General features: G+C 38.4%; 1 protein-coding gene across 4 annotated transcripts in view; it reads left to right on the top strand.

The window, feature by feature from the left end:
• The window catches only part of FAM110B (family with sequence similarity 110 member B), a 154,262-nt gene that overhangs the window by 25,065 nt on the left and 112,726 nt on the right, over positions 1-16,471 (top strand). For 2 of the 4 annotated variants that reach the window (XM_047422400.1, XM_017013948.2), the window contains exons 1-2: positions 11,281-11,685; positions 12,019-12,116. The gene's annotated coding sequence lies outside the window, so the exon portion shown is untranslated. Of the gene's footprint in view, positions 1-11,280; positions 11,686-12,018; positions 12,117-16,471 lie in introns of those variants that run through there. The other 2 variants (NM_147189.4, NM_001377989.1) reach the window with 1 other exon arrangement.

Below are 16,471 nucleotides of genomic sequence, written 5' to 3' on the forward strand. Positions count from 1 at the left end.
TTTGCCTTCATTTTGTTGCTGAGTATGTAGTATTCTAGGTTGACAGCTTCCTTTTTTTTCTTGCAGCATTGTAAATATGTTGTTCCATTATGGCCTCCCTTGTTTCTAAAAAGAAGTTGGCTATCATTATTATCTTTGTTACCTTGTATATAGTGTCTTTTTTGTGTTACTGCTTTTTAGAATTATTTTCATTTATGTTTTATTTTCAGCAGTTAGACTCCATTATGCTTAGGTGGGTTTTTCTTTGTATTTGCTTTGAGTTCACTGAGCTTCTTGGTTGATTTTTTTCCAAATTTGGTACATTTCATCTACATTTGTTCACATATTTTTAATCCTATCCTTCCCTCTTTTCTCCTCTCCTCTAATTGCCCGTATATTTTATTGTTTGGTATTATCTTGCAAGTCACTTGTACTTAATTTTTTTCCAGTTGCTTTTCTGTCTATGATTTAGTAAATTTGTGTGTTTTTTTTCCTTCTACAAAGTCCAATTAGCAAGCCATTCAATAAATTTTTAATTTGAAATATTATATTTTAGTCTTGTATTTTATTTAGTGCTATTTTACGGTTTTTATTTCTGTCTGAAAATGTTCCATCTCTTCTATTAGATTTTTTTATTTGCTGTAAACGCCTTAATATATTTGACGTAGTTGTTCTAAAGTCCTTCACTAGTGAGCTCACTAAGTGAGTCATTGGAGATTCTGTTCTTACTGACTGTGTTTATTTTTACTTATGGATAATATTTTCCCATTTTAAATGTATTTTGAAATTTTAAAAATTTTCAGTTTTAAATTTTTAAATTGTATTCCAGGTGTACACAAAATAATAATATTTGTTTGTTTCATTTCTCAAGAGTGCAAGCTCTCTTCTTAATGGAGATAAGGCTAAAGAGCTGTATATTCAGATTCCTGAACATTTAGTTAAGGTTGGAGTTACACTTTTAATTAGGTTGAGTTCACCTAATCAGCCTTTTAAAAACAAGTCCGTGTTAGTATTTCAGCTGGGAGAAAGTTGGTCTACAATTTTAGATCTTTGATTTCCTGTTGGATTAAAAGATTGAATGAAGCATCATCAGAGTATATGGGCTACATGATTTCTCTCAGCCTTCTAACATTTCCACTGTTGCTTTTTTGTCTAATTTGGGAGGCTGGGGGAAGGTGGTGGTAGATCAGAAGGCTTATTAGGAAAGTAATTTGTTTTTGCATTTGTTCTTCTAGCATCCAATCTGTCCCACCAGTGCATGCCACTGTCTGAGGCTTGTCTTTCTCTCCTTATTACTGCGAGTCTCTCTCTGATGGCTTGTTCCTCCTGATCTAGACGAGGCGTCCTCAGATAAGGAAGCTGCTATGGCTTTCAGCTCACCCAGAAAAGGCTACTTTCTTCCTGGCCTTAGGCTCCTTTGCATTTATTATTTTTTGCTAGGCCCATAGAAAAGTAACTTTTTATTTTGTCCAGGTAAAATTTTTTGTTGCCATCGGATGGAAGGCTTTTTTGTGCTTCTAATTAGACACAGAAATCTTCTATACATTTTTAAAGCAAGTGCCCCAAAGTGTAAAGTGTCAATGAGTTCTCTTGCCCCCGGATGCTGATTGGGTTTCACCAGTTGGAAGCACTGGATGACCATCAGTGCCCAGTTGTATGTGTTAAGTGACATTCTTCTAATTTTTCTTTTATCCAACTTAAAAATCTGTGGTATCTGTGCTATTCTATTGGGTCACCACTGGTTACTGATACCTGCCAACCAAAAAGGATATCTGAAAGGCAGTAAAAAAATTAATAAATAAATAAAACCAAGCATTGCTCTGTAGGACTTGCCCTGAGACACTCTTTTTCAGTTATGGAACTGCCCAATCACATGTAAGCCAGAAAACATGAAAAGTTAAAGACACATACACAGAACCGATTCCTAGCATTACTACTACTTATGGTTTAAATGTAATTATTTACTGTTTCATGTACTGTATCAATGTTGTTAAATATATTGTCATTTAGTAGTCAGAACAACCCAGAGTAACACTGAGATTCTAAGTTGGGGTTGACTACAGAATATACACTTTTAACCACTGTGCTATAAATGCTACCTTCTTCAACCAAGTTGATCAACCAGTATTATTTTATCCAATACCAACTTGGATGAGCAAGGTATCATTTATAGCACAATGGTTAAAGGTGTATATTTTGCAGCCAACCCCAACTTGGAATCTCAGTTTTACTCTGGTTTATTCTGACTACTAAATGATAATACATTTAACAACATTAACATGAATTTCCTTGAAGTTCTAGAGAGCATATAGCAGACATTAAATATGGAAAGTTCAATCTGCGGTGAAACCTTACCCTAATTGTTTTACACACATACTCTATGGCCTGGCTCTAGCATTCCACTTGCTGGGGAGCCAGTGTTGAGAGTTTCTGGGGTGCACAAGTAAGAAGGGAGCTGAGCTGTGAGCAGCATTCTGGGGTGCTGTTGGTGCTAGTCTCTCTGAATCCTGCTAGTAGTGTAGTCAGGCTCTCACTTTCATAAACACAGTGATTTGTATTTAGCCTGTTCATGCACAAGAGCTTTACTGGTGAGAAAGACCGAACTCTGTGCTTCTATTCTGAAAGCTAAATGTCCCTTGACATGAGAAGTTAAGAAGTCCTACACCATGGACGAACCATGTGGGCATTATGCTAAGCAAAATAACCCAGTCACAGAAGGACAAATGCTGCATAATTCCACTTACACAAAGTACCTAGAGTAGTCAGTGGTGACAGAAAGTACAATAGTGGTTTCCAGGGGCTGTAGGCAGGAAGAAGTAGGGGTGAATGGGGGTACAGAGTTTCAGTTTTGCAAGATGAAAGAATTCTGGAGATGGGTGGTGGCGATGGTTGTACAATAGTGTGATAGTACTTACTCCACTGAACTGTATACTTAAAAATGGTTAAGATGGTCAATTTTACATTATATACATTTTACCTCAGTTTTAAAAATTTAATAATATAAAACATGATGTCTCAATAAAATTTATATTTCAGCCTTTAAAAAAAGTATCCAGTGGATTCTGTTTGGTTTTACTAACATTATGCTTAATTTTTGTAGAACAGCAGAAAACATGAGTATTGATATTGGCATTGTTCTACACTTGCTTATTAAGGAGATGAATAGCTTTTCTTAGGGAAGGCCAAAAGTAGAAATTCTTTGGCCTGAAATCATTGCCACCTGCTCTGGAAAGCACTTGAAGAAGGCTCCAATTATACTTCTAGACAAGAAAGCCCAAACCCAGGGGGTTGTTAGACAGTGATTAGTCTCTCCAGGGGCAGAAAAACAGTGTGGGAAAGCCCTGCCCTCGCAGGTGATGAACCCCAGCAGCCTGTGTGTCTTTCAAACAGATTATATGAGACTTAGAGTCCCTGCATCTGATGTTGAATATATTGTGGAGACTAATTTTTTAAGGAAAAAAAATTTAAAGAGAGATAAACTTCATCAGAACTCTCTAATACTTGGAAGGATGGAAAACTGCCAGTTTATAATCATAGTGGAAAACAAATTTGTTGACTTAATTTCTTGGCATGGTATTCTAGGGTTACTTAAGTACTATTACATAATTTTTATTTTTATTTTTATTTTTCAAGCAACACAGTGAGTGATTTAATAGATAGTCATTTAAAAATAATAATTTAAAAGATCAGCCTCCAGATAAGAGAAGTGCTTTCTACTTTAGGTTTTTGTGAGTTCCTTACCCCTATGTTTTTACTTTAAATAAGTATTTTTTATGATGTCAGCTAATAAAGGATTTTGCATGTAAAACTGAGCAGCTACAAAATACATGTTTTTTTGCAACAGTTTCTGCTGGACAAAAAAGTACAGTGACTTTGGAAAAACTGGGCTAATGAAAAAGTAAATATTTTTCAATATAGTTTTGGACTCATGAATCTCAGGTCCTGCACAAGTTCAAACGTTTTTAAGGAAGGTGGCCCTACCATTCTCTCCTGCCTAGAATAGCATGGTAGTCCCACAGAACATATCAGAGTTACCCTTGTTTACATTCATACATGGGGATCTAAATAGTAGTCCCATCTAGCTGCTGCTCACATGTTGGCTGGGAACTTTACTATAAACTCTGTGTTTGCTTTGTTATTGTATTCTTCTTTTCTAGATGAGTTAGGATTTCCAGCTATTGACTCAAAATCATTGAAATCGTGGAAAATGACAACATTATTAATTAGATCATATCCAGTCAGTAATGTGCTAGCTTTGAAAACATGTATTTGTATACTAAGCCGTGTCTGAGTACCATTTTTAGGAGTGTTAAAAATGAAACTGTGAGCTGTGTAGCACTCTTTTTAAAAAGCTGTATTCTTTGCCACCAGGTGTATTTATCTTTAATTTGCAACCAAGTATATTTATCCTTAAAAAGATTTTGTGACACTGACATTGTACTAAGCACTTACAGATTTTTCCATCATGGCATTTTCCAGAATTTCTATCTTGGCTTAACATTTCTTTGACCATATATGGATTTGCTAAATGTTATTGTTTATAGAGAATCAATGAACAAAAGTGATGGGCTACATTTGAGTAAATTTAATGAAACTTTCACTGTGCTTTTTTTTTTTTTTTGTAAAACCCAGAGAAATATACGGATCTGTTTCAACTCGGTCCAAATAAAAATAAATAATTAGAATACATAAAAGGCTTTTTAAGTTGTCTTTTTCCATAGCATGTGAGGAGCATTATAGAGAGGGGATTTTGGTCTTACTAGTTTGAACCTCAGAGAGATGTCTCTAATTGTATAAGCCTGCCTTTTTTTGGAAAGAAAAGGAAAATTTTCCAATTGTTGGGAAATCAATGATCCATAACCAAAAAGGGAGATAGAAAGAACTTTATTAAGTGACTCTTCTGTGCCTGGCATTTTTACATATATTATTTTGTTGACATACATTCCTCCAAAGTAGGCATTATTTCTATTTGTTGATGAAAAAATGAATTGCCTAACTTGATTTGTCCAAGGTACGTTATGAATAATAGTGGCCAGGACTTAACACAACTCTGCCTTACTCAGTGCTGCTGCTGAACAGTCAGCCAGCATTGAGTGAGTGTGTGCCCTGTGCCTATTCCTTTGCCCACTTTTTTATAATAAATTGTTATTTGATTCTCACAGTGACCCTTGCAGGAAGGGGCTATAATTACCTTTTTACAGACCAGGAGGTTAAGTTAGTTGCTCAAGGTCACATAGTGCCATGGAGGCAGGCTTTGAACTCAGTTGATTTCAGAATGCCAAAGAGAGTATATTAGCTAATCATTTTGGTTCTTATGTTATATCCCAACTTAAGGCAGCCTGGATCCTTTAGAGAGATGCTCACCTTCTATCTTCTGTAGACTTATAATAATGGTATTTGCCTGGGCTTACACTATATCTGCTGCATAACCCACGTTGATACACTGCAGACAGGACATAAACAACATGGCTAATTTACTATCTTGGAATCCCACTCATTCAAAAATATCTATGAAGTGTCACATCCTGGGCCACATCCCAGTGATTAAGATAACCAGGCAGGGGTTTGTGGTTTAGTGACGAGATACAGCTATAACTAACCTTTATATCTGGGGCAAATGTTTTTGTGGAGATGAGCAAGGCACCATGGGCATGAAGGGGAGAAGTGGTCAAAGCTCAGGGAGGTCAAGGGAATGTTTCTCAAAGGCAGCACTGTCTGAACTAGGGGGGCATGGGCCGAAAGTCTCCAGACTCACAGCAGGAGACAGGGGTATTATTTCAGACAGTGGGTAGCATGTGCACAGTGGGAAGGCAAGAAGAAGCATGGCCTGATGAGAGGGTGCTGTAGTGCCTCTGAATAGCTGGAACACAGCAAATGGGGACATTGGTAGATGAGACTCCATCCATAGCAACCTTGTCTGCCATCCTGAGAAATGTTTGGCCTTGATCTTGTAGGTGATGAGGAGCAGTGAAAGTGTAAAAATTACAGGCATGAGGGCAGGAGGGCATGGTCACAACTGGATATGAGAAAGATTAATTTTGCTGAAAGGCTGGTGTTGGGAGACAGGTTGTGAGGTGATGGTAATGACCTGAATGTCACACTGAGATTAATTTAGGATGAGAGTATTACTAAATTTGTAGCTGCTGCCAGGTGTCCCTACCTTAGCAGGCAGTCCATTCAGATTTGAGATTGTTCAATTGCCAGGATGTTCTTATCATGAGCTGTATAACCTCTCTATAACTTCTGCTACTCAGAATGATGTCTCTTCCTCCACATGACAGGCACTTCCCTAGTTGATGTAAATATTTTTAGGTCCATGTCCTATCCACCCATGCCTCAGTTTCTCAGGATCTGCTAGATCTTATCAACTTGGATTGTGCAGGAGGTCCATGGTCTTTCCAGACTCATGCATCATCTTAGGGACTTAGTAGTGGGGGTTAGCAACACTATACAAGATTCTGGCACCTTCAGCTGGGCTTTAGAAGAGGGCTTGTAATGAGCACATTCACAACATAATAGAACATCCCCTTTACCCCTGCTACATGGGTTGACCCATTGAGTACAGGGTAGTGCTTGTATATATTTGTACTGAACTCAATGCTTCTGATAGTGCACCCTATAATTTCTCTAGTATTTCTGCCATAGCTAACAGCTGAGTGATAAACTCAAACTTGCAGGCTTTTTTCACATAAAATAGTTTGAGCTTCTACTGTGAATTGCATTACTTACCTTTTTTGGATGATGAACTTTGTAAGGGCAAGGACTCTTTTTTACTTAATCTTGGTGTCCTTTTCCATCTAGTATAGTGACTAACACATGCCAGCCCATCAGGAAATATGTGTTGAATAAATGTAGTTTGATTATTATTTTGATCTGCACTTGATATTAGTACTATGAAATTGTTCTAGCTTAGCACATTTGGAATCGTGATTCTATTGTATATCATTTTAGTCATTATCAACCTTGAATCATCTGTAATCACTTTGATAAGCCTGTCTTATGGGTGGGTTCAATTTCTTGGTGTGTGAAAGTCCCGTGACCACAACTGGATTTAACAAGGGGATTGTATTACTTGCAAGAAGTATGGACACCAGGATAGTTCCCAGAGCAGTGCCTTCCCTAACTATGGTGAAAACAGCGCTTTCATTAGGCTGGTTAGCTATCATTGTATGAAGAGGTAAAGGTAGTGCAGATGCAGCTTCTGGTCATGTTTCTACATATTATCAATCTTCTACATACAATCAAACTTCTACATATGGTCATGCTTCTACATAGGTCACATGTATAGAAAATTGCAAATAAATTCCTCCTCAGGCAGGGTTTTTAGTATGGTGATGAGGAGAGTTTGTCAAAGTTTATCTCCAACTCTGACATCCCTGGATCCAACTGTTTTTTGTTTTTCTGGGGCTGAGTTTCTTCTTTTTAAAAGAACACGAACTCAAGGTGCAACAGGGACAAGTGGGTAGTCTTTCACAGTGTTTACCCAAAAACCCAGGGACCTTAGGCTACATCTTCCCTCTCCTGTATGTCACTCTCCATGGATTATCAAGAGTTTTAGAAAGTTTATCCCTTTACATTGAAGAAATTTATTGTAGACTAAATAGGATTAGAATACATTTTGGAAATCTATTGTAAGGTCACAACTTATTAGAAGTTGTAGAACAATGGAATAATTTAGTTTCCTTATAAGCAGTATTGTTGATTATTGGTTTTTCTTTTTTGTGGTCTCCAGATACTTAGCCATCATTGATTGCTATAATCCTTATTAAGTATTTGAAGATGTTGAGTACCATCCACTGAAGGAGTCCCAGGGCTGATTGAGGAAGTTCGTGAATATTAAAAGATGGGAACACTGAGTTTTTTTTTTTTAAAGCACTTTTGTGAGTTACAATGTATATATAACTAAATTTACTGATTTTAAGTGTATGGTTTAATGTATTTTCGCAAATATGGCAGTTATGCACCCACTACCACAATCTTGAAATAGAACATCTCCATCACCCTGCGTGTTCTGTCGGGCGTCTTTGCAGTCAGTCCCTTCCCCCACACTGTGACTGTGCCAATCATTGATGTGCTTTCTATTGCTCCAGTTTGCCTTTCTCTAAAATTTCATATAAATGCGATCATACGTGTAGTCTTTTGTGTTTGGCTTCTTTTCCATAGTATAATCCTCTTGAAATTGCTTTACGTTGTTGTATATATCAGTAATTATTTCCTTTTTATTACTGAGTAGTATTCCTTCGTGTGGTATACCACAAATTGTTGATCCATTCACCAGATGATGGACGTTTGGATTCTTTCAAGTTTGGAGTTATTATGAATAAGGCTGCTGTGAACATTCTTGTGCAAATCTTTGTGTGGAATCTCTGTGTTTAAATTTTGTCCTGGGTATATACTTAGTAGTAGCATTGCTGGGTCATATCGTACGTGCTTAACTTTATAAGCAACTGCCAAATTAGTTTTCAAAGTGCTTGTAACATTTTGAATTTCCAACAATCATTGTAGGAGAACCAAGTTGTTTCATATCCTTATAAACACTTTATATTTTCTTTTCGAGATGGAGTTTTGCTCTTGTTGCCCAGGCTGGAGTGCAGTGCTGCGGTCTCGGCTCACTGCAGCCTCCACCTCCTGGGTTCAAGTGATTCTGCTGCGTCAGCCTCCCAAGTAGCTGGGATTACAGGCGCCTGCCACCACGCCTGGCTAATTTTTTGTATTTTTAGTAGAGACGGGGTTTCACCGTGTCAGCCAGGCTGGTCTTGAACTGCTAACCTCAGGTGATCCCGCCCACCTCGGCCTCCCAAAGTGCTTGGATTACAGGCGTGAGCCACTGCGCCTGGTTAACACTTGATATTTTGAAACCTTTTAAAATTAGCCATCTTATTTGGTATGTAGTGGTATCTCATTAAGGTTTTGTTTTGCATTTCCCTGATTAATTATGTTGAAGATCTCTTCCTGTGTTTACTTGGCATCTCTATTTTCTTTATTGAAATGTGTTGGAATGGACATCTTGTCCTTTTTCCCCCCTTAATATGGTTGTTTGGCACTTAGTCTTAATATCAATAGTGAGTTTATAAAAAGAAATATAAGGAAAATATTTTGTTGCTTTCACGGTTTCTAGAAAGGAGTATTTCTTATTGGATGTTTTGTTTCCTGACCATGTGTGTGCATGTGTGCTTTTTTGGGCATGCGTAGAGGAGTTCTTCTGTCATCTGTTGGCCAGATTTCATTTATCTTACCTTGCTTCCTTGCACATACTCTTTATTTCTGCGGAATCTGTCAGTTCACATTCCCCAGGAAAACCGCATGTGGATTTACTAACTACCCATCTAAAGACACACTCACAGTTACACTCTCATCCCATGCAAACCTTAACTCCAGTGCTGCTCTGAAGGCCTTCCTTGGTGACCTCCATCATCAGCCCACAGTGGGCAGGACACCATCTGGTGCTTTTCGGTTCTCATGCACCTAGCACTGTGCAGCAATAAATAATGGGAGAGTCAACACATGACTGTTGTTAATAAGCTGCTGACCTGGGTGACCCAAGTGCTCTGCAGTGATTCTAGGGTTTCAGTGAATACGAATTCAGTCTGAACTGATAGAACTAATACTAAATCATTTTGAAATTCTACTTTCAAAACTGCTTATGTGAGCTTTGTGTATAGAACACCTATGTTTTGCTTGAGAGACTCTATAAATCGACTTGAAAATGTGTTGCAGCAAACCTATGATTATGATCTGACTATGAATAAGACAGGGAAACTATATACTCTTTTTGTATTAAATTTATCTAGGTTAGACAACCTAAGAATATCCCAAATTTCATTTTGGATTTCTCATGGGCATTCATATTTTAATCTAGCTTTATCAGTGGGACAAAAGGCAGCGTATGCCCTTGATAACTTTTAACAGTGGGTTATATTGACAGAAAGTTGAGTTGACTCGTGATGTTGTAATCATGCTGATTAGAAATGATTTTTTTTTTGTTTTACACTAAAATAGATGAAATTGTAATCTCTTAAGAGGTTATTTAGGAAATTAAAGATCCGCTATGATCTAATAGAGCACTGGATTTACACCTAGAAAACCTGGGAATCTGGAGCTGGCTTAGCTGTGTGACTTTGAAGTGGTCACTTAACCACTCTGGGCTTTCTTTTTCTCATCTGTGAAATGAGTCAACTGGAGCAGATGACCGTATGATCCCTAAGTTTCAAGCATCTGTGCTATGAGTTATTTGTATTAGGATCGTTTTGATTTCACATGGCAACTTTGAAGATAAATCCAATCTTGAAGTTCTCCATATGTGGTATTACTCCCTGTCTTAATCACAGTTGAGTGACTTTTCTATCTGTGAATTCATTCTAGTAAGTGTTCAGCTCTTTGCTATTTTCTCCCTTCAAAAGTGTGAGAAGGATAAGGCAAAAATCATGAGAAAAATGAACAGGGATTTTAGATATAATTTTTGGCCAAAATAAAAGTATTGGTTGCAAAATATTAAAATACAGAACCTTTTGCTTTGTTATATGGGTCACAATCAAATTAATATGGGCCCAAATATATTTTAAATCAATATTTCTCTAACATAATAACAGCACATGATTTCATTAATTTGAGTTGCTGGAAATCCCATATACTTCAGCAAGCAAATAAAATACTATCTTAAATTTCAGGTATTAAAGCAATAAAAAGAACCATGGGACTTGGAGTTTATATTTCTATTTTAATCTAATACTAATTTACTCTGTGTTCTTGTTGAACCTTGTTAGGTAATGGGACAGGAGAAAGTAGGCTGTTTTGAAAGTTTTGAAAGTGAGTGGAAAGTATCAATCTTAGTTGTTATTTAAATGGGCATTTTCAGGCTCTTTGTATTGTTTTGAAGCGATAGAAAATCTAGGTCAGGATTTACAGCCTTCCTAATACATGTTTAGTGTATCATTCATTACACATCTCTCCAGAAAGGCGATGATAGTGCTGAGGACGCTGGCATAGATCTTAATGAAGTAGTTTTTTAGCCATTATCTGTTGGAGTCCCAAGTGCCTCCTTAAAATATTTTTCTCTTGGTTCCTCCTATAAACCTGCAAAATATACAGTAAATCTCAATAAAGAAGATATCTATTGCAGACAGGACACTTCCTTCCCTGTCTGTTGGCTCCTGCTTTTGAGTAAACAAAGACGCAGTCATTTGGACTGATGGTATCTGACAAAAGCAGATGCTGGAGGAGAAGACGGTTAAGATTTTCAACACAGTATTTTCTTTAGCATTGCCAGCTGTCCCGATAACCATCACTTTCATGACTCGTCCCAGTATCTCCAAGTGCAGCGAAAGCAGAACATGTCCAGCAGAAGCAGCTTTCCTCCAGGAGTCTCCGTTTCTTTCCCCGTTTGTAAAAAGGAGTCATTTCTCGGTCCAGTCGATGTTAATTTTTGCTGATAATGAAATAGTTTGTACTTGAAATTTGGGACTATTGAGGCCATCAAGATCTGTCCTCAATCCAGGAAAAAGAAGTCCAGGACCAGCGGAAACATGTGTTTGTTCGTGACCTTGGGTCTGAACTGCATTTGGAGGACAGAAGGAGCTACTAGACCTGTCTTGTGATATCTTCTCCCTTTGCAAATATTAACGATGTTTCTGGAGGACAGTGTAGCTGTTTTCCTAGCCAGTTTTGCAGTTGTTTATGAGGAGGCTCCATCATTTTCTGCATGATTCTGTGAGTTAGAAGGAGTGACATGTCCTTTCTGGGATGTTGAGTATGAAGCAGTGCAAAGCCGGGGTTCCCCAGGCTCATGGAAATACACAGGCTCTCATTTAGTTTGTTTTCCATTGAATACATGAAGTTGGCCTCATACTTTGATTTTTGTTTCCTTTTGGAATCAGTTTTAGTTTCCTGGAGCAGCTGAATTAGAAACAGGCTTTGAACCTAGTTTATCCTTAGATAAATACAATGTCTGTGATTCAAGGAAAAACAATTTCTTTTGAATGATACCTTTTAATCACTTTTATTCTCCAGCATAATTTTTAATCTGCGTCTTTTTCCTTTTAGAAATCTCCAAATTGGACATCCAGAGCAGCATTCTTGTTCTGTCTACGTCTTGAATTAGAAACTATCAAGCTCTGTAAGTCCTGAAAAGGAAATAAAAGGTAATTACATTAAAAATTTATTATTAAAATCATGTAGGAATCTGGTTATAAAGTAAATTTGATCCTTTATATGTTGAGCAGAATTTAGGTATTCCCCAATTTTTCCCACCTTTTTCGTTCTTAAATACTTTCCCTTCCCTCCTTCCTTCTTTCTTCTCTCCCTTCCTCCCCCTTCCTTTTCATATATTCATTTAGCAAACTTTTGTGGACTCTGCCCTGTGCTGGTCACTGTTCTAAGCACACACACTTTATTCCAACTTCCCATGCCCTGGCAGGAATGGGGAGATTGGCAAAAACCATCCTTGTAGAACTGGCTCCCCAGCCTCTGTGCCGGCTGCTGGGGGGCAGATGCTCTGCCATTGGTTTGGCTGAGGCTGATCTCGGCACCTGCCCCACCTTCACTATCCCCACTGGCCTTGAAATGCATGCGCTTCTCCCAGCCCTCTGAACTTGCCTGGGTGTTCACTTGCAGTGGCTTTTTTACCTGAGAATTCTGAACACTCAGTGGACATTTAACTTCCCCAATTGGGACTGTTAGAATTATAATCACTCATGGGGATAAGTAAAACAGAAACAGTGTACTGTTCCCCAACTACTGAATATGTGAATATTCTCACTGGACATGGGACCTAGTATATATATTTTTAATTATTAACATAATGTAAATATTGCAAACAAATAAATGTTACAGATAGGTAGCATAGAATGCAACTTTCTACTCAAAAGCCACTCTCCAGAGAAAATATTGGTTAGATTTAGGTGCACATTCTTTAATTATTTTTTCTCCATGCACATACTAATGTTCAGGTGTTCAGTCTGTATTAAATGCCTTAACCCTATGAGTGAAAGTATTGGGGTAAAGATGACTTCATAATTTCTGGTAAATATTGTGACTTATTTTTGTTCTTGGCGTTTGTTAATCTGAATAATGATGTCTATGAGTTGGGGGCCACTGGCACACCTATGCACTTGGTTTATTTGATGGTGTTTTGTAGTCACTTTGTAGTCCAGAGCGCTCACCTCCCATTGTGTTAGGAATGCATTAATTGTTCCAGTGTTCCATAGAGAACCTGGACTCGTGTGGCAAGGTGAACACCCTTATCTTGGGTGGTGGGCAGGAGTGGTGAACTTCTCCCTAAGCTGAGAACTTCTGTGGTAAATCCACTTCAATGTGGCTCTTGAGACATCGATTTCATTTTAAAAAATAATGTCTACTGTTATTTTAAATTCAGGAGGTGCACGTACAGGTTTGTTACATGAGTATATTGTGTGATGCTGAGGTTTGGGATATAAATGATCCCATCAGCCAGGTAGCAACCATAGTATCCCATCGATAGGTTTTTCAGCCTTTTCCCCCTGTAACTCCCCCCAGTAGTCTCCAGTGCCTTTTGCTCCCATTTTTATATCCATGTGTACTCAATGTTTAGCTCCTACTTATATGTGAGAACATGCTGTTTTCTGTTCCTGCATTAATTCACTTAGGATAATGGCCTCCAGCTGTGTCCATGCTGCTGCAAAGGACGTGATTGCATTTTTTTAATGGCTCTGTAGTATTCCATGGTGTGTATGTACCACATTTTTTTAATCCAGTCCACCATTGATGTACACCTAGGTTGAGTCTGTGTCTTTGCTATTGTGAATAGTGCTGCAGTGAACATATAAATTCATGTGTCTTTTTGGTAGAATGATTTATTTCCCTTCAGTTATACACCCAATAATGGGATTGCTGGGTCAAATGGTAGTTCTAAGTTCTTTGAGAAGTCTCCAAACTACTTTCACAGTGTCTAAACTAATTTACATTCCCACCAACAGTGTATAATCCTTCCCTTTCCTCTGTGGAAGGAGCATAAATGATTTCAACAAGCAAAAAACCAAATAGCCCCGGTAAAAAGTGGGCAAAAGACATGCAGAGACACTTCTCAAAAGGAGACATAACAAGCAGCCAACAAACATGAAAAAATACTCAATGTCACTAATCATCAGAAAAATACAAATTAAAACCACAACAAGGTACCATCTCACAGCAGTCAGAATGGCTATTATTAAAAAGTTAAAAAAAAATAGTTTTATTTTTCAGTGTTTTTTCATCTGTCATTAAGCTGTCAGCTGCAAGTCAGTTGATTGCCACACGTCTTCCTCCTGCTGACCGTCTCTTACCCTGGCTTCCTGCCTCCCTCCTGGGATGCCAGAGCATTGCTGCTGGTCTCAGGCTCAACCCTCCTACTACCTTTCCCTGGTAGCCTTTGTTAACCTCCCCACGCGCCCTTGGAATTGAGCCCTCCCATCACTGGATGCCCACCAGTATATCCCAAAACAATTTTGCCGTAAATTCCAGCAGTCCCTCCTGAAACAGGCCTGGGTAACCAAGAGCCTGAGTAACAAAATCAGTAGTCCAGAGCCTACTATGGCCGAGGGACACAGTGGGCTGCGGTAACTAAGGGACAGATGACCATTGAATGGGCATGGTGCATCTGTCTAGACCAAGGCTTGTTATCCTGGAATGCCTAGTGCCCTGGACACTCAGAAACCCTGTCATTTGGGTCTTGTGCTCCGGGTATCATTGAGTTGCCAGCTTTGAAGCAAGGCTTCTGTTTTCTTATGGTGAGTTCCTTCAGGAAAACTTGGGCAGGGGGAGTGTCCCAGCTGGATTTATCAGCTGACTTATGGGTCGGAAGGTCTGGCTCTGCCCAAACCAGCCCTGACCCCTTTCCTGTCCATTGTTTCAATTCTTCTCATGTCTAGTGACAGAGAGCAGTCCTGGAGAGCCACACTCCTCAGTGCTGAGGGTAAGAGTGTGGGCTTTAATGTTAGAAGGACCTGTGTCAGGACCTGGACTCTGCCATGTGCAATAGGTACAGCCCTGGGAAAGCTGTTTACTTGATGTGCCAGCCTATTCATCCATCAAAGCAGAATTACGATAGTGCCCAGATCATAGGATTGTTGTTAGGAATGTGAGTTGCTACATGAGCTGGCACATGAGAAGTGTTTAAGGTATGTTAGTAGCTTATGTACTGTGATCTTCTGCAGAATGGAGATAATACCTACTTCTGAGGGTTGCTGTAAGCATTAAATGAGGTGGTGTATATAAATACATTGTGCTGGGCGCATAGTGCATACTCTGTAACTGAGAGCCCTCCGTGATAATGGTAAAGTAAAAATAGCACTATCAGCAAATGTGTTCAGAATGGGACAGACATTGTGACCCAGAGTGTGGGGGAATATCTAATAGTAGTAGGGAAGAATGGCCGCAAGTTCAGTCATCTCATCGTTAGTTTAAGTCATTGTCTAAACTTTGGTCACAAAGGCTCATTCATAAAAGCTTTGGTTATGATTGACTACTAGAGTGAATAGTCAAGAGTTATGTGTCCAAAAATCCTTTTATTCTTATTAGGTGCTACTTTTTAAATATAAAAGGCAATATATTCTTGGATTTTTATGAAATTTAAAAATCAACTTAAGAATAAAGATAGTAGTAATTATTTTGTTCTCTCATTAGACAATATTTTTTATCATCCTTAAATGGGAAGTATACTGGAAAATGCTCACTTATGTTATATGGTTGTTATGAAATGATTAAAGCAAGCAAATTGAAATCTATTAACATTTGACCCTGTCATCTCATACCTAAATTAAATGAGATGTGTTTAACAAACTTTGGCATTCATTTTCCTCTACTTTGAACTAAAGACACATTTGAATCCTTGGTATATTAGAGAATTTTCTTACCATTTGTTTCACACATTTGTTTTTCGTATACTTGAAACTAATGACATTACTTGGCTTAAAAATGTGTTTTAAAGAAAAGAGTATGCATAATTCACTGTAAGTCACCTTAGAAAGTGAATGTGTCTGAGCCCTCCTGGCCATAGAGACCTGTCCTGTTATCTTAGCACCCAGGCCTGGCATTAAGCATGCTCAGTACAGATGGGAACTGAATTGAAAATGCAGCAAAGGAATTGAAGATGTGAAAACCCATTTGTTAGAATGCTGAGAATATGATGACTTTTCAAATTTACCTTTAGCAGTACAGTTAAACTATAAAGAAAGACATTGTAGTGGGAGTAACATGTGCATTTGAGTGCAGTGATAGTGATACTTGTTCTTTGCTCTATGCTAAGTTTAGGATGCCGATGGGCTGGAGTCATCTGTCTCTTGTTTCCTTCTGCCCTCCTTCCCTGCTTGCCCCTTCCCCCTCCTTATCTTACCATCCCCAACTCCTCCTCCTTATGAGACTGACCTTGTGCAAGGTCCCATGTGTTCTTGTTCTCCCAGCATTCCCTATGCAGTAGCCCGGGCCTCTATGGAGGAGGTCCTGATGTGAAGCAATAATGCTACTACACTTGCTGTTTCTGCAG

This window comes from Homo sapiens, chromosome 8 (assembly GCF_000001405.40).
Source record: "Homo sapiens chromosome 8, GRCh38.p14 Primary Assembly".
Taxonomy (NCBI): Eukaryota; Metazoa; Chordata; class Mammalia; order Primates; family Hominidae; genus Homo; species Homo sapiens.